Raw genomic sequence first — 25,347 nt, forward strand, 5'->3', positions numbered from 1 at the left:
ACAGTAAACTTTTCTATGTTTGTTTACATATTTGTGTATTTGAACAAATTTGATATTAATTCTTTCAGTCTTAATTTATATATGTTTCTAGATCACCAATATAAATAATTTATCTATACATTATTTACCAATTGATGAGGATAGACAAAGAAGCAAAGGCTTACATATTTATTCGTATTATTTTTCTTCAAAAGCAACATCTGTTCATATGGATATTGTCAAATAATTAAAACATGGGCATATTCTGCAACATAACTTCACACTAGTTTTCTATTCTTTTATAGAATTAACTCCAAATGAATAAGAAAGACAGAAAAAGAAATAGAGGCAAGAAATAGAAAATGAGTAGAAAAGGCAAGAGGCTCTGGAATTTCTCTAGAAGAAAGCAAGTCTCAGGACAGGGTGGTGGGTGTGTATGACAGTGTGCATTTGGTAGGAAAATTATTAGAAAACAGAGATTCTGGGACATGAAGTGGGTCTGGGAAATGCCTCATAATTCCAAGAAGGTTCTAGAAGGGCAGAGTTGGCAGGCAGAGGAAAATGTCAAGGAAAGGCCTCAGCAACACAGAGGTGGGAGTGTCACAGGGGCAGCTGGCTCCATGAGACTCATTTATGATGCTCCATGTAGCTGCTAATCTGCAGAATGTTTCCATTCATCCAGGAAATAACTTAAATAAGAAAAATGTTACCTGTGATGTCCCGAATAACGTGGACCACGGATATGGCCTATTCCTCGGCACCCGGGAGTAGGACAGACAGCTTGACCTGGAAGGATCTTCAGGTCATTCGTTCCTTCAGGAAGTAAAAGAACATGCCTTGAAAACACCCTCATTAAAGAAGACTGCAAATCTGAAATATGTAAATGATGCTAATTAAGACTTTACAAATTAAAAACAAACCATCACCAAAAACCACTTACAGGTGACTTACGATGTATTATTAATATTAAATTATTTAGCAGAAAATACCAGTGCTGTGATAAATAACACCAACAGCACAACCCATATCAGAGAGAGAGGAAAATGAATAAATGAATAGGCATTGAAGAATTTCTTTTTTTATTTTTGAGACTAAGTCTCACTCTGTTGCCCAGGCTGGAATGCAGTGGCGCATCTCGGCTCACTGCAACCTCTGCCTCCCGAGTTCAAGCAATTCTCCTGCCTCAGCCTCCTGAGTAGCTGGAATTGCAGGCAAGCACCACCACGCCCAGCTAATTTTTGTATTTTTAGTAGAGACAGGGTTTCACCACGTTGGCCAGGCTGGTCTCGAACTCCTGACCTCAGGCAATCTGCCCACCTCAGCCTCCCAAAGTACTGGGATTACAGGTGTGAGAAATTTTTAAAAATAGATATGAGAACATTCACTTATTTCTTTCAGAGATTAATAATGGCAAAGACAATACAGCCACGAGCTGAGAATGCGAATACGTAAGGTCTGCTTTCTGGTCCTCAGTGAAGCCTCCACTCAACCACAGCAAGGATCTTAGAATACTGGACAGAAACTGGGCCAGCAAATGGGGCGTGCTGAAGATGGCAAACATGGCCCCACAGCACACTTACTCAAGTGGCTTTCAAAGCTAGGCAAAGAAAGAACTGACATTATGCTACTCTATACTACTGCTCTACTGTACCATATGCTATGCAGTACTATACGCTACACTGTACTATATGCTACATCATACACTATACTGTACCATACACTACACCATACTATATGCTACACTGTACTATATACTATGCTATATACTACACTGTACTATAAGCTACAGTGTACTATATACTATACTCTATGCTACACCATACTATATGCTACACTGTGCTATATTGTACTATATACCGTACTGTACTGCATTGCAATGCACTGTACTCTAACCATGCCAAGCATTCTGTCAAGCCCAAGAGGCAGTCTACATCTCAATATTATCAGTAGCAAAACCTCCATGCCCTGTTCTGTGATCTTCCTCAGTATTCTCCGCCCCCTAAACACACATGCACACACACACACACATACACATGTGCACACACACACACGCACACTCACACATATCAGTTCCTGGAACGTCCCATCCCATACCTCCTGCTGTTCTGGGCCTTACTTCTCTGACAATCCCACACTTTCCTTCTCCCCTCCCAGCTCTCAGACTTCCATTTCCTGTTCAACAAATTCCCTACTTCCTCCTCCTCATCTCAATATTCCCCATTTCCCAGCCCTGGTTTCATGGGGCTGAAGACATGGCTTCCCACAGCCCTCCACAGGGGTCACATGCCTCCAGAGAGGCAGGGAAGTCAGGGACCGTCTTCCTCTCTGTGCCTCCTCAGGGCCACACCTCTGAGGCTCCTCTTCTGAGTCTGATGCCTTGGGCTTCCACTATCTGCCCACTGTTTCCACATCACTCAGGGAAGACTTTGGCACTGGCTCTCCATGTTCTGCTCTGTCCCAACTCTGGCAAATGCTCAGGCACACTCAGGCCCCATGTGCTCACCCTGCCACTCTGCCACCCCAGCACGTCAGTCACTTCCTCGAGCTAGTGGCCCCCAACCCATCTGGGCCACACAAACAAAACCCTCTGGGTCTTGTCATCACCCAAAATGGCTTTGCTTCTAAAGCCCCACCTGACCACAAAATCGTATCCTCCCATACTGCGTGATCAGGTGCCCAACTGCTGCTGATGTTTTCAACATCAGTGGAGGTTCCAGGCCACTAATTTCCCTTCTTCTCTTCCTCAGCCCCTTCTGAGGGGCCATAACCCACTTCCCTTGTCTAACTTAGATTCTATCAACTGTTATTTGACCCTCTGCTGCTAGGAACTTAAACTCCCTTGCTCTCTGACTTTTCAATCATGTCTGGCTGTGGCGCGAAGGTGGGAAAGAGCCAACCATGGATGGCCCGAAACAACCTGCTGCTCTATGTTTTGCATAACTAAGTTCTCCTGGGAAAAAAATGCACATTGTGCAGACGAGGTGTTATCAAAACACCGGTGTCCCACACTGCCACTGGCCTGCACCCTCAGCCCTGCTGAGGACCAGGAGCCCATGGACAGAGCAGAGCGCCTCCTCACCGCCTGCCCAGCACTTCCCCTCCTTCCTTTCCACTGCAGTGTGGGACGCACTTTCCCCTCTCCAAAGCAAATCCCTCACCATCTGTGCTTGATCTCATCACCTCCCATTCTCCAGGATCTGTAAGCTATGAGGTATTTTAATCACTCCTTGACTATTGACCAACATTTAAACATACTCCAGTTTCTCCATCATAAAAACAAAGACAAAAGAGAAAACAAAAGCTTACAACTCTACTTAGATCCCACATCCCCTCTTAGCTGCTGTTCCCTGCTTCTTGTTCAGAGCAAACCTCTCAAAGTAATTATCTCCTTCTCCTCAGGGCTCCTTTCCTGAGGCACATTTGTTTTAATATCACCACACACTGGGACCTAGACTCAGTCAGTATTTTCATGAAATCTAATTACACTGTAACACAAATTTATGGTTTATATATAAGCTTCTTTTCTAGACTATGAGTGCCTCTGAAAGGAAGAACTATGGAATACTCACCTATTCCGCAAGCACTTACTGAGCACTAACTGTGTGCTCAGTAAGTGCTTGCGGAATAAGTATTTACTGAAACTACATACTGTACTATGTGCTACAGGATGTAGTTCAATATATAGTTTGCAGTCTCCTTCTGGAATTGCTGTTGTCCACTGGCTTTGGCAACATCACACTCTGACAGTTTTCCTTCTGCATATGAGGATTCTTTTGTAATCTCCTTTGCCAGCATTTCCTCCTCTAGTCAACCTGAAATTTCAGGCAACATCCTCAAGGTTTGCTCCTGGGCCATTCATTTCCACGGCTTCATTTACCAACTGCATGCTACAGATGCTCACAGTCTACAGCCCAGGCATTCTTGAAGTTCCAGACCAATGTATCCACCTTTCCACTTGATGTCTCTGTAGTTATTTCTTAAAGTCATTTCAAAGTCAACATGTTCAGACTGAACCTATCGTCTTGTCCCCCTAGCCTTCTTCTCCCGTAGAGCAGCTCATCTCCGTGACTGCATTACCCTCCATCCAGGAGCCTGGATCCTTGACATCATTTCTCGCTGGATCCTTCACATCACCTCTCCCTCATTTCATGCCACCCTATCAATCGGTCCTCAATTTTTCAAATATTTCTTTTACCTACCAACTTATCTTCATCACTACTATGACTGGCCTAATCCAAAGCCATCTTCCTTCTTGAAGAATTGCGATAGCCATTCTTCACTCTTCCTAATCTATTTTCCATCTTGCAACCAGAGCAATCTTTTCAAATCACAGATACAATCATATCACTTCTCTCTTAGCACATTTCAATGGCTTCTCATTGCTGTTAGGATGAAAACTCGAATTTTTACCCTGGCCTACATGATTTATGATTGGACTTGATTTTTCTCCTCATTCAGGATTCTGCATCCATGCTGGCCTTCTCCTATTCCTTGAACCTGCCAGTTCTTTCCTACATCAGGGCATTTGCATGCTGGCAAGAACATTCCACTGTGTCCCCTTGGATAACTTCTTATTATCTTTCACATCTTGGCTTATATTTCACTTCCTCATGCTAACTTCTGAGAGGAGGTTACGTCCTCATTTTATATAGCACCTACCTCAATTACAAAGTAAATAATTATTTGTTTAATGTCTATCTCTCTTATTAGACCATAAGCTACAGGCATGAGTCTAGTTCACCACTGTGTCACCAGTATCTAGCCCAACACATAGTTAGTGCTCAGTGTTTGTGGAACAGGTGAGTGTTCCACAGTTCTTCCTTTGAGAGACACTCATAGTCCAGAAAAGCAGCTTATATATAAACAGCAAATTTGAATTACAGTGAAATTAGGTTGCATGGAAATACTGACTGAGTTTAGGTCCCAATGTGTCATGATATTAAAACAAATATTTAAGCCTCAAATATATTTTCATTACATTTACTGAAAGTATGTCTTAAGCACATCTTATGTTCTTATGACTTTGTGAAACACATTGAAGCATAAATAAAGAAAAATAGAGCTACCCTATTCAAAGCCAGCTTTGGAAACAGCTTTTTTTAAAAAAACAACTTTTAAACGAATCAGAGGAAGTGATGTTTGAAAACTGTAAACAGGATAGGCATGGTGGCCCACGCATGTAATCCCAGAACTTTGGGAGTTTGAGGTGGGAGGATCGCTTGAGGTCAGGAATTTGAAACCTGCCTGGGTAACATAGACCTTATTTCTACAAAAAAATAATCTTAAAAGTTATTTGGGCATGGTGGCATGTACCGATAGTCCTAGCTACTCTGAAGGCTAAAATGGGAGGATCTCTTGAGCCCAGGAGTTCAACCAGTCTGGGAGACAGTGAGACTGTATCTCAAAAAAAAAATTGTAAACAAATCCTTCATTAAGAAATATGCTTGTGTCATTCAGTAAATAAAAGGATCTACCAGAAAAGAAACATATAGTATATAAACAGTTTTCTCTAAACTGCATCTCACAATACATTATGCAAGCTATCATTACAAAGGTCTGTAATATTAAACCCACAAATTAAAAAAACAAAAAATACTCTCCATCAGCTAACCCAGATGTAACTCTGTGTGGACAACATCCTACACACAGAGTGATCTTTCAATGAATGCTACTTAATATTGTTTTCAGTACTATTTTAATGTACTTTATTAAATTAAGGTTTAAACTGATGTTTTTAATATTTATCAATGCATATTTATCTCCATATCCCTGATAGGTACCATCATTCTCTCCCAGGTAGAGCTGGAAGGAAAGGCATGACCTCAACTATGGGAGAAGAGCCATTGCATTAAGAACTGCAGCAAAAGACATAACAAAGAAAGAGTCAAGAAAAACAGGAAATAAAAATGCATGGGACCTAGCAATTTCCTCATTAAATTTTGTATGATGAAGTATAATAGGTTGAATCAATGGCAAATGAGACAAGAAGCCATCCACTAGGGAAAAGAAACCTGCAAATTCTGCAACAGTTCACATTATTACTCTAAGATAAAGGAAACCTACCATCAAACGAATGTTTTTGTTCAGAAAATAATCGTATTTTTGCCAAGAATAGCTTACTATAATTTGGATATTTAGACAATTAGGTCTCAAGAAGAAATGTCCTCAGCTCTAAATCACTTTTTCAGAAAGAGCATCTCTGACCATATGACCCATTCTTGTCTTATTTTTACCACTTTTCCTGAAATTAGTTTTGTAGTTTATCTGCTTCTATCACCTGTCTCCCTTCACTAGAGTGAGGACATTTACCTTATCTAACTTGTCTACCACTGTATCCCCAGCACCTATTATCTGCCAGAACAGCGACTGGCAGATAATAGATACTCAACAAGTATGTTTTATGAGTGGGAAAATGATAATAAAGACAGCAACGGCTGGGCGCGGTGGCTCACGCCTGTAATCCCAGCATTTTGGGAGGCCAAGGGTGGCGGATCACAAGGTCAGGAGATCGAGACTATCCTGGCTAACACGGTGAAACCCCGTCTCTACTAAAAATACAAAGAATTGGCTGGGCATGGTGGCAGGCCCTGTAGTCCCAGCTACTGGAGAGGCTGAGGCAAGAGAATGGCGTGAACCTGGAAGGTGGAGCTTGCAGTGAGCTGAGATCACACCACTGCACTCCAGCCTGGGCGACAGAGTGAGACTCCATCTCCAAAAAAAAAAAAAAAAAAAAAAAAGACAGCAACAATTAATACCTGGAAGCACTATTTTATCACAATGCTGTGAGATCATCACTATTTTATTCTCATTTCAGAGCTCAGCTTGTCTGAAATCCCTCTCTGATCTTCTGTTTCTAAATACCATGAGCTACTTGCTATATCAAGCAGCATGAATAACTCCTAGTTCATTGCAAGTCTTCTAAGAAATCTTTTACTCAGGCAGGAGTAAATCTAATGGCAAGGTTCTTTAGGAAAGGACAAAAAGGAAAGAAAATATGCTTGTAAACTAAGAATTATCTGAATAATGAATAATGCTTTACCCTAACATGATACTATTGTAAGATGTCCTCATGGGATTCCCCATTCACATACAATGCATGGTTACTACACACAGCCCTCTTTCCTTGCCAACCAAACTCTGATTTTGCTCAGGGCAACAATGTGCCCAGCTACACACACCCTCATTCCCAGCCTCTCTTAAATCTGGTCATGGTCACTTGAAACTGTCCTGGATAACAGGACCGAAGGGAAAGGCACCGTAAAGACAAATGCTTTTCTTTCCTGTTAAAAGGGCGAAGATGAGACTGGTGCTGCTTTGCTCATTTCCCCCATCTTTGGACTCCCTGGAATGCAGATGTAAACACTCATGAGATGATAAGCACAGAGACAAATGCAAAGGTGTTGAGGGAAGAAGAGAAAAAAGGAAGAAAGAGCCTGGGCCCACAACACTGCCATCCTTGGACCTGTTACACCAGTGATCTGTCATGCAAGAATGATATCCCTCTCTTTGATTAAACTCTATGGTTTAATTTTTGTGTTACTTGCTGATAAAAATTTCTAGGATAAAACAGCAATTTTATTTTGATTTTTCTTTTGTGAAATCAAGCAATTGTCCTTAAAAGAAAACACTCAAGTTGCGTATGTATTTCAGACATATTGTCATGTAAAGATGATGTAAAAGATCAAGGCAAAAATCGAGAAATAAAAGAGATTGTACTTATCTCTAGAAAATGAAAAAGGGAACTGTCTTTTCTTATTCCAAAATGGCCCAAATTGGTGACTCTGGGTGATGTAAATGAAAATGCTTATTATTATACCTAAAATGGGTTACAGACTGAGAACATCCTCCTCCTTCTAAGAATGTACTCTCTTCTCAGAACTGTAATTTTATTTGGTATACAGACGCCCATAGCACAGTGATAATGCTGACCCTGAAGCAAATTAAGATGGTCTACTCATTTAAATATATAGATGAGTTATGGATTGATGTTGGCCAGCATCAAAAAAAAAGAAGAAGAAGAATCAGGAGCATTCCTATCTTTATTTCAATACTAATTACTCACTGCTGAAACAGTACTCGATTCAACCTGATTCATTTAGCAAGTTTTTTTTTTTTTTGTAATAGAGAAATGACATTAGCATTGGGTGATAATATCCACTAGAAGATGTACAAACACTGCTTCTTTGAAAAGGGAAATAGATTTAAATGTCACAGATAACAGTCAAGATTTTATTTTTTCTTATTTTTAACATAAAATTAATTACTGAGGGTTATCCATTCAATTAAAGGGATACTGCAGGTTTATTAGACGCTGCTGTTCCCTTTGCTAGGGATATGGCGGCAAACCAGAGAAAGGCCCTGCCCCGGGAGCTTACCTTCTGGTGCCAAAGATGGAATAAGCCATCAGGTAAGAAGCATGACAGCAAGTCAGAGTGATGATGTTAGGCAGATACATGAAGTGGGGTAAGGAAGAGACAGTGAGTGGGGGACGTGGGGAGATTTTTAAGACGGGGAGGCAGAGAAGGAGTGCTGATATTTGAGCAGAATCCTACTTGAAGTGAGAGCACGGGACACGCTGGGACAACAGCCAGAAGGCCTGGGTGAGGGGAAGGGTGGCGGGAGATGAGACGGCGTGGGCCAAAGAGTCTCTTGTTTATTCTGGGTTGGCTGGGAGACACTGGCAAGCACTGCGTGGAGAGGGGATCGGTGAGAACACACCTACCTCGCTGCTCGGGACCTGCTGTGCGCTCTGCATCGTGGCTGCGACTGGAGTCAGCCCTTCAGAGCCCACACAGGCAGCATCCACACCGCTATTTACAGCTGGGGCTAGGTGAGCCCCATGGCGAGTTCGTGTCCATGAAGAAGAGAAGTCTGAGGACTGAACTCTGGGAACACCGAGATGTAGAGAGCAGAAAGAAAGAGTGAGCGAGGCGGCTGAGAGCGAGGAACTCAGCGAGTAGAGGAAGCGCTACGAGGAAGCTGCGGAGAAGGCGCTCAGTCCATGCAACGGTTGAACCTGCACCTGGCCGCTGGGTTTCGCAAAGTGCCAGGCTGCCAGGCCTGCGGCAAGAATGCTTTCAGTGAAAAGGTGTGAGCAAGCCTGATGGAGGTTCACGGGAAAGTGGAAGAGGAAAAAGGGAGAAGCTATAGTTTAAACAACTTATTAAGAAGTTTTTATATAAAAGGTTGTATAAAGTGGTTATAAAAAAGTGGATTTATGCCCCAAATGGTATTTCTATTATTGTTTTTGTTTGAGTGATGATGAGAATATTTCAGTACAGGGAAAATTTGATAATGTAGGGAGGGGTTTAAATGTGGGAAAAAGTCATTGAGTGAGGACGGGGTGATAGGCCAGTATCCCAGTGAGGATGAGCAGTGGGGCGATCAGGGACTGTCAGTAGTCCCAGTCCTGGCGAAGGCAAAACCTATGTGTGCAGATGATGGGGCGCTAGTGGGCTCGATGGCAGAAGGAAGACAAATTTCTCCACTGACAGCTTTTATGTTCTCGGTGAAACAGGCAGTAAGCTCGACAGCTGAGCTTGAGAATGCAGCAGTGGAGCAAGGTATGAAATGTGAACTAAAAATCAATAAAGCAAACTGTTCAATTATGCACTCTTTCCCATTTCAAATAATTAAGATTTTACTATCTTTACTTTGGACTGGAAATGTTTAGGTTAGTATCTTGGTTTTTTCCCTGCCACCCCACAGGAAATTTGTATTATAGTTTGCTAAGAAGATTTAATGAAATAATTACCCTTGAACATTGGAGAATGCAAATAATAAGCATTATCTTTCAAACTAAAATTATAGGTTAATCATACCTATTCTCCTCCTCCTAATGAAATTAGGGAAAATAAATATCCATTGTGCTATAATAATTAGTGTCTCAAATAGAAGAAGAAAATAATATAACCAAACACCATGTTTGCTTGTACCTGGGTTTCAGGACATCATATTTCATAATACATAAATAAAATAGAACAACAATTTTGTGAAATGAAAATGCAAAAAAAAGAATTTTAAAAGGTTCCTAAAAATGTCAATTTTATACTTACTTGACAATCTAGAAAAATCTTTAAAGTACCACGATGGCAATATTAGTAGAGAAAGGCAATCTAACCATCTGCCTGACATAGGGATATGTTTAGAAATGTGGTAAATTCCTGAAAGAGATGAATCGATATAATAATAATACTTATCTTCCACTCAGAAACAATCACACAGTAAGAAAAGAATGCAGACTCCAAAAGTCTCTTTCACAGATCTGACATAGCTTCAGAGCAGTTAAGGCAAAAATATCATGTGGTACTGGCCTTTGCTTATTATTTTGAAATGAGACAGAAGACCACTTCCTTAATAAAGAACTGGCAAATATTTTCTTAACAAAATATAGTAAAATGCATTTATCATATGTTCAGCTTTAATTAAGAGTTAATAAGATAATGGGTAATTGGCTAATTAAATGAGGATCCCAGAAAAGGATGACCTCATATTTAAATATGAGTACAGTATCAGGGAGATCAGAGGTTTGATGGAAAATGGAATGATTTGACCTGTAGACTCCAGTCGAAGCATCTGAGATCTGGTGTGTATTGGTATGAGCCATTGTAAGGATTAGGAACAAGAAAGTGAAGAAGTTACACATATAGTTTTACTGATATATGGATAAAATGACAATAAAGAAGAGAAAATTGTAGATTCAATTTTAGATATCTCCCCATTCAAAAATGTCACATTAGTATTTTAAAGTATTTATACCACAACCACTTAAATACAACAAAACTAAGCTCTTTTTATATTACAGAATAGGCCTTTGTAAAATGTTGGATTGTTTTATTACTCAGTTTTTAACCTTTCAAAAATCAGGAGAATGACCTTTTTGTTGATCTACAGAAGGGATAAAATTGTGAGAGGTCCACATAGACAATGTAGAAGCATAAGATTTTGTTTTTTCTTTTTATGAGACTTGTTGGCTGGTATCACCCAGGCTGGACTGCGGTGCTGCTATCACGGTTCACTGCAGCATCAACTTCCTGGGCTCAAATGATCCTTCTGCCTCAGCCTGCTGGGTAGCTGGGACCACAGTTGCACACCACCATGCCCAGCTAATTTTTCTATGTTTATTTTGTAGTGAGGGGGGTCATGCTATGTTGCCTAGGACAGTCTTGACCTCCTGGGCTCAAGTGATTCTCCCACTTCAGCTTCCAAGAGTGCTGGGATTACAGGCATGAGCTACCATGCCCAACCATAAAGCACAGAATTTTAAGAATAGAAAAAATGTTAAGAGTTATTGGCATACACAAAAAAATGTTTTACATATAAATAAACTGTATTAAGCCTACCCTTAACTAACATTAGACTTACTGTGAGGAACTAAAGAGTTAAATGGCACCTAAGGGTTTTTAATGTGAATACTATTTCACTAGATAGCCCTGTTCCATTTTTTTCATTATTTTTAAGAAATAAATAAGACAGTGATTAAAATATATTTATCTTTTAAACTTTACCCTTATGAAAATTGTCTCTCAAAGAAATTATAAAGAAATAAGAGGAGTTTTTAAAAATTTTTTTATTATTATTATACTTTAAGTTTTAGGGTACATGTGCACAACATGCAGGCTTGTTACATATGTATACACGTGCCATGTTGGTGTGCCGCACCTATCAACTCGTCATTTAGCATTAGGTATATCTCCCAATGCTATCCCTCCCCCCTCCCCCCACCCCACAACAGTCCCCAGTGTGTGATGTTCCCCTTCCTGTGTCCATGTGTTTTCATTGTTCAATTCCCACCTATGAGTGAGAACATATGGTGTTTGGTTTTTTGTCCTTGCGATAGTTTGCTGAGAATGATGGTTTCCAGTTTCATACATGTCCCTACAAAGGACATGAACTCATCATTTTTTATGGCTGCATAGTATTCCATGGTGTATATGTGCCACATTTTCTTAATCCAGTCTATCATTGTTGGACATTTGGGTTGGTTCCAAGTCTTTGCTATTGTGAATAGTGCCGCAATAAACATACGTGTGCATGTGTCTTTATAGCAGCATGATTTATAATCCTTTGGGTATATACCCAGTAATGGGATGACTGGGTCAAATGGTATTTCTAGTTCTAGATCCCTGAGGAATCGCCACACTGACTTCCACAATGGTTGAACTAGTTTACGGACCCACCAACAGTGCAAAAATGTTCCTATTTCTCCACATCCTAAGGACTTTTTAACTTTATTTTGCCCTAAACCTCCTTTAGCCTTTTATGAGAAATCAGCCTTTAAGAAAACCCACCTAATTTGGTACTTGGTTTATGTAATTGAATTATTCCCATTTTACTCAAGTGAAAATGCTGCAAAACCATCCCCCTTCTCTCTTTCTCTCTCTCATTCATTCACTCATTCTCTCTCTCTCCCCATTCCTCCACATTGCCTTAAGCAAATTGACACTAAACTGGGATGATAACGTGTATACTCCTAAGTCCTAGGATTGTACTTATTCATGTAAGGGGAGATAAGAGACAGGTCAAAAGCTATAAGCATATCCAGGTAGCTTATGAATTGGTTTTGAGCATCCCCAGCTCTTGAACTGTTTTTCCTCTCTTTTACTAAAAGAGAAATTTAGTACATCTAGTTTCATTGATGGTGTCACATACAATTTTCGGACTAAAAATGTCAAGCTGGTTAGTTGCTGATAGAAATGTCATATATGTTCTCATAACCAAATATGTATAAATATGAAAGTTACCCATAAGATTGAAACATACTCCCAAGTGGAGTGACTATATCATTTTTCCAATAACCTGAAAAGTACATCTAAAGCGGGAACTATGGTGTCCATAATCCCTTCTCAAACTAGCCTAACAGGGCCACATTAAAAGTTCTCATGACCAGTAAGCTGCTTTTGGGCATTCTTAACAGAAAATGTTATGAGTTGTTTGAGAATACACACACACACACACACACACGCACATACACACACACAATTACACAATGTATAATTCTAATTACATTTCTCTCCATGGCTTCTTCCTGAAATCTAACTCTACAATTAATGACATTTCATTATTGACATTCAGAAACTTGGCAGAACTGCCAAGTTTCTAAATGGAAGGAAAATTCTCCACCTGATGTCTGTAACAGATGCTTCGATAACGTAAAAGGAGCAAATTGCCTTCCCTCCAACTCCCCTGTACTAGTTGATTCACTGGTGGCTTTGAATTTGTCCAGACTGTAGAACTGAGAGAGAACAAGCCCTAACTGAGTCTCAGTGTTAGTGCTGCCCCAAGGGAGCTTCTTGCAAGGAGATGTAAGAAACCAGACTTCCTACCTTCTGCCTGGTCAAATCAGCAAATAAAAATGTTCGCTGGCACCTTGGGTATAAAGGCACTCCATTCAGAGAAGGAGAGAAAGCTCCCATGATACAGTCTAACCATTCAAATTCTAACTTTCCAATGCCTTAGTGAGTGTCTCAGTGCCAGGGACCGCACGGAGTGCCATCCCAGTACAGACTACAGCAGCGCCAGGCTCCACAAGGTCAGAGGCCACAGACACAGCAGGACCAGGAGAGCCTGGGAGTCTACTAGAAGAAAACGGATCCCCTTACTGGCATACAAAACTGGAAGGGACTTAAAGATTGAAGCTTCCAGATCCCACAAAATCAGAATTCCAGTGGCAAGCTTGTGAATCATTTATGTGTTCCCCATTCAGGTTGTGAACCACTGACCCAGTCCACCCACTTATTTTTGTAAATAACAAAATAAAGGTTTATGTGGTCACATAATTTGTGCCAACTCATAAGTCATATTATGGTATTTGGGACAAAAATTCAAGGTTTGTAACTTGCAGATCTGTACTTTTTTGACTCTGCTATGATACACAATAAGCAACTGCTACAATTAATTTTTTTAATTTTCATATATATATATTTGAGATGGAGTTTTCACTCTTGTTGCCCAGGCTGAAGTGCAGTGGCACGATCTCGACTCACTGCAACCTCTGCCTCCCAGATTCAAGCACTTCTCCTGTCTCAGCCTCTCAAGTAGCTGGGATTACAGGCACGCGCCACCAGGCACGGCTAATTTTTTTGTATTTTTAGTAGAGACGGGGTTTCACCATGTTGTCCAGGCAGGTCTCCAACTCCTGACCTCAGGTGATCCACCCGCCTCGACCTCCCAAAGTGCTGGGATTACAGATGTGAGCCACCGTGCCCAGACTAATTTTAAAATATGTAATTGACAAAGATAATATATATTCAAGATGTATGACATGGTGATGTGATAAACATATATATTGTGTGATGATTACCACAATCAAATTAACACATCACCACCCATGCTGTACATAATATTCCTGGAACTTGTTCATTTTGTAACTGCAAGTTTGTACATTTGGCCAACATTTCTCCATTTCTGTTACCCCTCAGCCCCTGGTAAACATCATTCTGCTCTCCACTTCTATTAGTTAGACTTTTTTAGATTTCATATAGGTAGGATCATACAGTATTTGTTTTTATGTGCATGGCTTATTTCACTTAGCATAAAGCACTCCAGTTTATCCATGATATTGGAAATGACAGGATTTCTTTCTTTTTATGGATGAAAAATATTCCATTGTATGTACAATACCGTATGTTCTTTATCCATTCATCCACTGATGGGCAATTAGGTAGATTCCCTATCTTTGCTATTGTGAATAATGACGCAATGAACATAGGGGTACAGGTATCTCTTAGAGATACTTATTTCATTTCATTTGGATACATACCCAAAAGAGGGATTGCTGGATCTCATGGTAGTTCTATTTGCAATTTTTAAAGGAACCTCCATTTTTTTTTTCCATAACAGCTATACCAATTTATATTCCTATTAACAGTGTACAAGGGTTCTCTCTTTTCTCCACATCCTGGCCAATTCTTGTTATCTTTTGTCTTTTTGATAACAATCATCCTAACAGGTGTTAGGTGATATCTCACTGTAGTTTTGATTTGCATTTCTCTGACAATTAGTGATGCTGAGCACCTTTTCATACAGCTATGGCCCTGCTGTCCATCTGTATGGCTTCTTCAGAAAAAAAAGTCCATCCAAGTCCTTTGCCCATTTTTAATTATTTAATCAGATTTTTGGTTTTTTGCTATTGAGTTAGATGAATTCCTTATATACATGGAGATAACCCTTTATCAGATGTCGGGTTTGTATCTATTTTCTCCCATTCCATAGGTTGTTTCTTCATTCTATTGACTGTTTCCTTTGCTGTGCAGAAGCTTTATAATTTGATGTAGTCTTTGTTTATTTTTGCTTTTGTTGTCATATTTAAAAACTCACTATCAAAACCAATGTCTTGATAAAGCTTTTCCTTATGTTCTCTTCTAAGAGTTTTATGGTTTCAGATCTTAGATTTAAGTCTTTAATCCATTTCAAGTTAATTTTTGTATGTGGTGCAAGACAAGGGTCCAATTTCATTCTTCTGCATGTGGATATGTAGTTTTCCCAGAACCACTTATTAAAGAGATTTCCTTTCCCTATTATATATTCTTGGTGCCTTTGTCAAAGATTACTTGACCATATACATGGGTTTATTTCTGGGCTTTCTTCTGTTTCATTGGTCTATGTGTCTCTTTTTATGCTACTAACATACTATTTTGATTACTATAGCTTTGTGCTGTACTTTGAAATCAGGGAATGTAATGTCTCCAGCTTTGTTCTTCTTTCTTAAAACTGCTCAAGCTACTTGGGGTCTTTTGTAGCTCCATGAGACAGTTATTTCTATTTCTGTGAAAAATGCCATTGGAATTTTGATACAGATTGCACTGAATCTGTAAACTGTTTTGAGTAGTATGAATTTTAACATTAAGTCTTCCAGTCCACGAATATGGGATATCTTCCCATTTATTTTTGTCTTCTACAATTTTTTTCAATTTCTTAAAAGTTTTCAGCAGGCAGATATTTCACCTCCTTGGTTAAATTTATTCCTAAGCATTATGTTCTTTTTGATGCTATTGTAAATGGAATTTGGATAGCTCATTGTTAGTGTATAAAGACCCAACTGATTTTTGTATATTGATTTTGTATCCTGCAACTTTACTGAATTTATTTATTAAGTCTAAGAGTTTCTTTGTAGACTCTTTAGGGATTTTGATATGGTTTGGCTCGGTGTCCCCACCCAAATCTCATCTCAAATTGCAATCCCCATGTGTTGAGGGAGGAAGGTGATTGGATCATAAGGGTGGTTTTCCCCATGCTGTTCTCATGATAGTGAGTGAGTTCTCATGAGATCTGGTGGTTTTATAAATGACAGTTTTCACTGTGCTTTCACTGTTCTCTCTCCTGCCACCTTGTGAAGAAGATGCCTGCTTCCCCTTCTGCCATGATTGTAAGTTTCCTGAGACCTCCTCAGCCATGCAGAACTGTGAGTCAATTAAACCCCTTCCTTTATAAATTACCCAGTCTCAGAGAAGCTCTTTATAGCAGTGTGAAAACAGACTAATACAGTTTTCTATATGCACAAAAGATTACAGTATCAGCAAACAGAGACAATGTAACTTGTTCCTTTCTAATGTGAATGCCTTTCATTTCTTTTTCTTCTCTAATTACTATGGCTTGGATTTCCAATACTATGTTGAATAGATGTGAGCTAAAGTAGGCACCCGTGTCTTGTTTCTGATTTTCTATCTGGATGATCTATCCACTGTTGAGAGTGGATACTGAAGTCCAATACTATTAGTGTATTGCTGTCTATTTCTCTATTCACATCTCTTAATATTTGCTTTACATAATAATCAAAATTTTTATATGTTTATGTACACCAACTTCTTGTTGCAACTATTCCTAGCTTTAAAAGATAGCAAGGGTAGTCATGCACATCAAGACAGTCAAATATCTGAAATGAATAGAATGGAGTTCTACCATATGTCCAAATTCAAATATATATGAAAAAGGGGGAAAGAAATGTACTCTAGTAGCTACAAGTATAGGTGATCCTACTACAGTACTCAAGAATGGAATCTGGGTATGAGCACGAGATAGAAGTCAGAGACTACTACTCTTCTCCTCAGTCTCAATATGTTCCTCCAGTGTGAGCAGTCTTCTGAATGTGCAAACAACCTGGTATTTAAAAGTGCAGTGTGATTATCGTACAGCATGACCCTCAATTCACACCAATGACTTCACCTAATGCTCAACAACGCCAACTGTACAGTTCAGTGATGGAGGTAATCCACTCTGGTGGGCTTACTGAGACACACTTTTCAGTAATTGTGATTAAACATGATTTTTTGCATTACTCGCTGAATTTAGACCCTAATCCTAGAATAAAATGTGACTCCACTGTGTGAAAGAATTTTCCTTGGCTGTCTGGCATTATATACAATTTGATGAGAGGGATTACATAAAAGATTCCTCTCCTTTTCTAATGACCTCCATTACAAAATAGGTCCATTGACATGAAAAGAATAACGATGACTTCAAAGAAAATTACGGAAAATGTTCTTGTCAATCTAAAAAATATAAACTGCTCATTAAAGTATAAAAACTTCCATAACCATATTTCTTTTACTCTGTTTTATAATTCTTTGGAACAATAAAAGCTTTTAATGTTCAAGAAAAGAGTCAAGTCAAATAGCAACAAGGAGAATGTGGATTAGTCAAGGAGAATAATGCCTTGGAGAAGAGGTTTGGTAATGCAGGAGAAAAAGGACTATGTGGTCAGCAGCTGTATCCTCCTCTACATGGCTTTCAGCTCATTGGTGGTTATAGAAATAACACTACATACAGAAAATTTTTATGAAGCACTGAACGCAAATAAAATTAGGAGTATTCTAAAGAATGCTATAGAGTGAGTGAGATGTAGCAGAAGACTGCACTGCCAGAAATCTAGAGGGTCACTTCAAACATAGTAGGGCGAGGCTACTGGCTGCTCAGAGAAGGTCTGACTTTGTATCTGCAACACCTAGGATGAGAAGCTCCCAAATATGCCATCCTGTGAGTGGGCCATAGAAGAAAAGATCTATGGTTCTCATGGCTGGATGCACAGGTGCACAGAGCTGTTATCCCAAAGACTTGGGTATAGTATTCTGCCATCCCCTCTAATTATGGTAAACTTATGTGCTGAAGTGAAACTTACTGCTTTGCTAAGGAAAACAAATTCCAATTTTTACTCTCTGATTTGAAATGAATACCAAAGCATAAACGAAAAGTAACATAAAAGCCAAAGTCTCTTACTTCTTAAATATGATGAAAAATTTTCAGTTCTCTAAGTCTGTCATTTAGCGCTCATTGAATTTTAGGTTTGTGTATATTTGCAACTTCTTGATTCTTGGTTGCTTAGAATGCAGAGTGAAATGAAAAAAATCATAATCTTTATACAGCTCTCTTTCAGAATGCAAATACATAATGTTTACATTAAAAATACTTGACTCTGTGTTCATTCCTAGGAGTCATTTAAGGATACCTCTACTTGTAAAATAAAACTATGACGTATTTTTAAATGTTTCTAATACCATGAAAGACAAAAAAAATGAAAGATTTTCCAAGATGCTAATACCATTAAGCTTGTCCTTAAAGCAACACAGATAGCTGCCCTTGCCCACTTCTCATTCTCCTTGACCCCCAATTTTGAAAGAATAATTGCTATAAATAAGAAAAAGCATCTTTAAGAGGAGGAATTTTAATCTTTTAACACTAAATACTAGTGCATGAAGTAGCCAAAATAGCCAGACATTGACTTCTCTGTGAATATCTTCACTATGGCACTACCACGCCATGAGTGTTCACAGGACTATCTCTCCTTCTGGTGCCTTTATCATCATGGCCATAAGTGTAGAACTATTTCCCATAGGACTTTGCAAACCCTAGAACAGCAGTTAGTACATTAGAGATACCAAATAAATCTCTATTCAATTACCACAACAACAATGAGATGATAAAACTCTTCCTCATGTAATATTTTCAGACAGTCAGTTGATTGCTCAACTGCTCAAGGTTTCCATTAACCAGGTATTGTAGGGTGACGTAGGGCAGGGATATAGATACATAACAATTGCATCCAGTTCCCTTCCCCTGCCATGGAAGGCATCATTGTCTTCTGAAAGGGTTAAATCTCTCTGAGAAAAAGCTGAAAAGTCTCTGCGTGAACTCAGGATCTCTACTCAACGTCCATATGCTGACTTGCATAAATCTATAGCCAGATATGAGTCATAAATTGGGATAGGGTGAGAATCTGGCGAGCCTTACTGTCAAACCACTGAGTTGTTTCATCCATTTTAGAAGGGACGGGCTATTGTACCTATTTTAAAGGTCTGTAAATTCGCACAGAGCTGTGCTTTATTTAATACAATCTATGATGGTCTGTACATGTGATGACAGAAACTGCTATGCCACACTGCATCGCAACTGTGAACAAAGTCTTCAAGCTAGAATGAGAAAATAATCTGCAGAATTGTTCTGAGCTAGCCACTAGGCATCCAACAACTAAGTTATAGAATCAAGTAAATGGATTCTGCCCTCACACCTCCAGAAGGTAGAGACGCAGGATAAGCACTTCAACAAGGAACATTTAAAACAGACAATATCATTATGACTGTAAGTACATTTTGAAACGTATTATTTTTTTCTCGATAAGTCTATCATGTAGATCTGTAATTAGGGACTTTGAAAATAGCTACCTTTTTAAAAAACACAATATGCTGTAATTGTCTATTAAGTCAATGAGTACTTAGGGACTCTTAAAACTGCTGATTACTTGCTTGCTGTAATTTGGAAGAACAAGTACTAAAGATTCCTTGTGAAATTCTCTTTAAAACAGAATGAAATTGAAAATGTGCTATTACCTGGTTAGGCTAACAATATTTTTTCCTCGGAATGACATCCATCCATCATCATATTAATTGCTTCACATCTGGCCAAAAAATTGCATTAACTTTTATTTTATAATCTAAGTGAATTTCCATCTCTGAATAAAATTTTTCTAATTCCACAGAGTTTCAATGCTCATAAAAGATGGCATTATTAATCATTCATTGCTTAGTGTAGATTAAGAATTTTATCTCACTCATCAGGATAAACAATGTACCAGCCATATGGTGTATTTACAAGTCATTCTGTTGTATTTATATACGTGCAGTATATTAAATGAAATTGGATAAAAATGAACTATACCTTTTATCAAGTTATGTGCTATTATGCCTGTTTATGTTTAACTGTTAAATAAATTAGCAATGTTCTCAAAGTCATTAATATAAATTACAAAGGATATATATATTTTAGTTTGTATTATTACTCTATTAATATACACTTTAACTTCATAATGATAATTTAATTTACTTTGTAATCAAGCATTATAATTACTTCCAAATAAAAATCAAACAGAAGCTAAAGAAAGAACAATGACACAATTATTTAGACATGGAAGCTAGCTAAGAAATCTCATTTTTCTGCCTATCAACTTCCTATTTAGGAAAGTTTCCTTGGTCACTTAGGGAGGGTTATTCTTGGCCTGTGTCTCTCCTACTAGGCTTGACTAGACCAATTCCATAGCTACTACTCAAGAACTCACTCACTCCATTAAGGTGGCAGGCGAGAGCCCAAGGTGGCCTCTACAGATGCATGTTGGTTTTGCATTATGTGACTAACCAACACATTATAGAGAGAAGAATATATAGACAAATGTTTTTTGGAAGTCAGACCATGGAAAAACACTAAGAGATACCACCGTCCTTCCATTCATGAAGCTTATGGTTTCATAAGAACTAATGACAACTGAGATGATTACATATTGTATTTTGCACTGCGGAGATAAGGAAGTGGTCAAATGAAAAATAATAGTGATTGCTATTCTTTAGATAATATGGCCCATGGAGGCCTTTCTAAGAAGGGACCATTCAAGATGTATTCTAAAGGGTGAGAAAGAGCCATCTGGTAGAAGAGCAGATAGACCATTCTGAACAGAGAAGACAGCATATATATACAAAGGCCTTAGGGTGGAAAGAGTTTGTGTTCACCAATTGAGAGAAAGGAATAAGCGTAGTGAATGAGAGGCTTAAGGAAGACAAGGAGGCAAGAGGTGTGTATGTGCACACTCCTCTCTTCTGTTTTCATTTACTCCCCCTCTGTTTTCATTTACCCTTCCTTCATGCTGGCATTGGAGTGGGCATCTATTTATAAATAGGAGGTCTTAAAACAAGGCTGTGGCAATACTAAGGGACAGCTGTACATCTGTAGAAAGAGATCCCACATGGCTACTTACACATGGTAGAAGGTCAGTGGCCAAGTTAATGAGCCCAAGGCTGTACTTCCATTTCAGCACAGCCTGTGTGGTACATGGAGGGGACCCAGAAGTTCTTACGTGCCTCAGTAAGGAAGCACGGGGTCTCTAAAAGGGCTGGTAGGTGAGCAGAAATCTGGTGTCAAGATATAAAAGCCACATACAGAGTGGCTTGGGGATTAGAGCAAACAGCTCTTCCTCCTTGGAGGAAGGATCTTGAGCAAGACCCATCAGGGATGTCTCTTTATGAAAAGGTAAGGCTCCATCTTCCTGGGAAGAGTGTGCCCTGTGAGCTGCTGATGATCAGGAATGATGTGAAGTCACTGCAGGCGACCCAGGTATGAGGCTATGCTGCAATGTCATCTATTTTTGGGCTTTGCTGCCCTCTTCCCCTCATGCCTCATGCAGCATTGCTGATGCTGCAAAACAGAGGATACCATCCCTTGCTGGAAACCCAACCTCAGCACTTCCATAGGCCTCGCCCCAGGTTGGGACCTCTCACTGGCTGGGTTACCCACTTTTCTGTTCAGAGACGGGATAACCAGAGGGCAACACATCTGATTATAAAAGTGCATATTGCAGGGTTTAGGCAAGTAAGAATACATTCTGACCAGGACCAGAGACCCCACTCTGGCTCTAACAAGCTGTGTGAATCATTGAGTTGCCTCACCTCTGGATGAGAGGTTTGGATCTGATAAGTCCTAGGATTCCATCAGTTTCATATTCCACACCCCTATCTTTGGTGACTAGGATAAGAGAAGATGAATCGAAACACCTCTCCTGCATCTATTTATATCTATACCCAAGCTGAGCGAGCAGCTTTGTTCTTCTTAAGTTGGAGATGCAAAGTGTTCCCATCATAAACAAGAGCCCAGCTTAATCTGACGCGATGGTCCCTGCACGGGAGGCTCCAGGGCATGCCACATGGCTCTCCCTGAAGGGCCAGCACCACCAGGCCACTCCATACCCCACCAGCCCTTGTCGCGGCACCTCAGTTTTTTGTCATTTCATAACAAACACTTTATATATACCCTGGTGAGAAAAGTCTGTTAGTTACTAAGTGGTGCAGCCAAATCTGCATTTAATTAAAAAATGAATATTTTGTCTCAAGCTATATCTATCTTATTAGAAGCACTGGGACATGTCACATTTTTATTTTGTTGTTTTTATTCCTACTTTAAAACATTTAAAAGCATTTCTACATAATCAAATATTTTATTCTGCATTGTTTAGCTCTGATTTCTGAAAGAGTGTTTAAAACAAGGGCTGAAGGGGCAGGAAGGGTGACGTAAGTACAGCCGTTCTCATCCACAGCATGGAGAGTCATGCAGTCCTGGGGGGCTGCCCTGCTGGTGGACTGGCACATTCCATCCTGGAGCCTTCACCAAGTGTTTCCGGACATGAGCTAAGCACCTGCAAGAGCTACAGAGGTTCCACAGAGTGAGGAGCAAGGGTGAAAATACAAAGACCCCACCCTAGGGGATCTCCTGGATTAAAAGAGGAGCCGGCGTTCATTCCCTTACTCAGTGACTACCTTTTGTGTTGCAAGTCAGCAGTGTTTGGAGTCAGGAGTGTTCGGAGTCAGTGTTGCAAGTCAACAGTGTTGCAAGTCAGCAGTGTTACAAGTCAGGAGTGTTCGGAGCCAAAACCTTGTTTAATCTCACAGGCCTGCAGATTCCAGAGGTCATGGAACTCATCCAAACGCACAGAGTTGGCCAGGGGCGGTGGCTCACGCCTGTAATCCCAACACTTTGGGAGGCCAAGGTGGGCGGATCACCTGAGGTCAGGAGTTCAAGACCAGCCTGGCCAACATGGTGAAACCCAGTCTCTACTAAAAATACAAAAATTAGCCGGGCTTGGTGGCGGGGTCTGTAATCCCAGCTACCCAAGAGTATGAGACAGGAGAATCACTTGAACTTGGGAGGCGGAGGTTGCAGTGAGCTGAAATCGCACCATTACACCCCAGCTTGGGTGACGAGAATAAAGATCCGTCTCAAAAAAAAAAAAAAAAAAAGCACGGAGTTAATCAGAGCAGAAAGGAAATGGACATCCAAGTCTTCCTAACTCCAGAGTCTATCATCTAGCTTCTCAAACTTGGTTAATTTCCCACGCAAGAAAAACTGGACATCCCATTGTCCAATGGAGTAGGTAATCTGTGTGTGAATAATTACCAATATAGTAAAAGAAATGAGCTCCATTTAAAGAAAATTTACATCAAGTGTGACTGGGATTACAGTTTCCAAATGATGTGACTAAAAAGATTGCCAAAATATGACCCAGTTAGATGACCAGAGCAGGCATGGTTTTTAGGTTCTGATATTTTCATATTTTTAAAGGACATTCCAGAAACACAAAGCATGATAGAAAGATCTTGACAATTCAACAGTGCTAAGACATCAGTATTTAGTTTCAATTCTAACTGTAGGAAAAGCCCACCATGAGGGACTCTATGTCAAATAAAGCAGACAAATCGCGTCCTCATGGATGAGAAAAGGAGAGCTTAATCTGGCAGCAGGGTACCAGGGTGAATTGCAGGTGATCATCTGTAGTTAGGAACAGCAGCTAAGAGGAAGCTGTCATCACCTGGTCATACAAAATTGGACTCTTTTCAGTTGAATGGGAACATTTAAGTTTTCATTCTCAAGAGGCTTTTCCCTGTTAACTTTTCAAGAACTTACACTGGGCCTTAGGGCTTGAATATTATGGTCTTGGCTCAAATTTACTGCACAAGTATTTCTGCAGAAGCTGAGATCCACGGTGTGCACTCTACCTTGGCTCAATGTCTGCAATGAGATTAAATGGCACTAGAAAAATAGAAACAAACTAAAGGGATTATCACTTGTTTAGAAAGACCTAAAATTTTAATAAGTTCTAATAAAATGTGTATAGAGAACCAGCAAGTTCTAGTGTTGCCTACACTTGTGCCATTTTCACCTCTAGAGAGGCTGCCACTAACTATTTCAGGCCCGGCGTGCTCATCTGAGCCCGGCTCAACACTGCCCCGAGGTTCCTTCCTGGGCTCACCCCACTGCATTCTGCTCACTCTGTAAAACAACAGTAGCAATCTAGATTTCATTTTTACTCATCCATGGGCAGCTGTGTGATTTTATTCTATTTCATACATTTGTAAACCACAGTCCCTTCAGACACAAATTGGAAGCTCACTGAAAAAATACATATAATTCTTATATATAAAATATATATATATATCTAAGAAAGCTAAGAGAGAATATACCTGTGTGTGTGTGTGTATGTACGCATTTTTCTTCCTTTGTTTCCAAGGTTTTTATTACAATAACAGCTACTAATTTGTTGAAAAAAGGGAAAATATTCATAAAGAAAAACAGATGAGAATAATAGATTAAAAAACTCTCTACCTCATATTTTCTTTTGATCATTCTTTTTTCATATAATATCACTGGTAGACAACCTACTGTGATATCTTTTGTAAAAATCCACTAAAGTAAATCAATAAAATAACATTCAAGTCAGATTCCACCTCTATAAAATATAGAGTAGATTCCATGATCTCTAAGATCATTTTCCCAAGCCCTCAACTTTTAGTAGTCTTTGTAGTATTTGACCAATAAAGTTATCATAGATAAGTACCTAACACAATTGTTGAGTCACATAAATACAACAAAAATAAAACAAAAGAGTTCAAAAAAAAATCCGAAAGTTAAACTATCTTAAAATACTTCTAAAATATCTGGAAATTAATGTTGGCCAGCTGACTTTATTCATATATGATAAAATACTGCGTGTGGTTGTATAGATCTACTTACAAACTCTATTTTGATCTGATTTTAAAAGATACTGGACATTATAGTGAGAAAAGTTTAGTTTGAATTATATGAGTAAATAAGATTAACCCATTGACTCAACTGGCACTCAGAATAAAAGATGATTGGATGTGATTGTTTGTACACATATCATAGATAAAAGACACAGTAAAAGGGTGGTACATGTGACTCCTCTGTAGAGCAAATGCCCTGAAGCCTCCATGCCACACAGGCATTTGACAACAACTGAGCGGTGTGATTTTCCCGTAAGAAAAGTGAAGATACAGAGGACAGCTATAGAAAGGTAAGATATTGTCTTCAGATTCTTAGGAG

The 25,347-nt window shown here is 39.4% G+C and overlaps 1 protein-coding gene across 31 annotated transcripts in view, besides 1 other annotated feature; it reads right to left on the minus strand.

Moving 5' to 3' along the window:
- Positions 1-25,347, minus strand: part of L3MBTL4 (L3MBTL histone methyl-lysine binding protein 4) — a 460,543-nt gene that overhangs the window by 182,788 nt on the left and 252,408 nt on the right. For 27 of the 31 annotated variants that reach the window (NR_158610.2, NR_158609.2, NR_158611.2 and 24 more), the window contains one exon: positions 690-792. Coding sequence is in view for 25 of the 31 variants with exons in the window: in NM_001365765.2 (NP_001352694.1) it covers positions 690-792 (103 nt within the window). In the remaining 6 variants the exon portion in view is untranslated. Of the gene's footprint in view, positions 1-689; positions 793-22,381; positions 24,016-25,347 lie in introns of those variants that run through there. The other 4 variants (XR_007066253.1, XR_007066252.1, XR_935072.2 and 1 more) reach the window with 3 other exon arrangements.
- Positions 8,790-9,290: an enhancer, noted in NCBI's record as "H3K4me1 hESC enhancer chr18:6146293-6146793 (GRCh37/hg19 assembly coordinates)". NCBI's record gives its function as "activates a minimal SCP1, AML or CMV promoter by ChIP-STARR-seq in primed H9 embryonic stem cells {active_cell/tissue: H9 hESC(primed)}" and the evidence as "EXISTENCE:reporter gene assay evidence [ECO:0000049][PMID:30033119]".

Source organism: Homo sapiens, chromosome 18 (assembly GCF_000001405.40).
Source record: "Homo sapiens chromosome 18, GRCh38.p14 Primary Assembly".
NCBI lineage: Eukaryota > Metazoa > Chordata > Mammalia > Primates > Hominidae > Homo > Homo sapiens.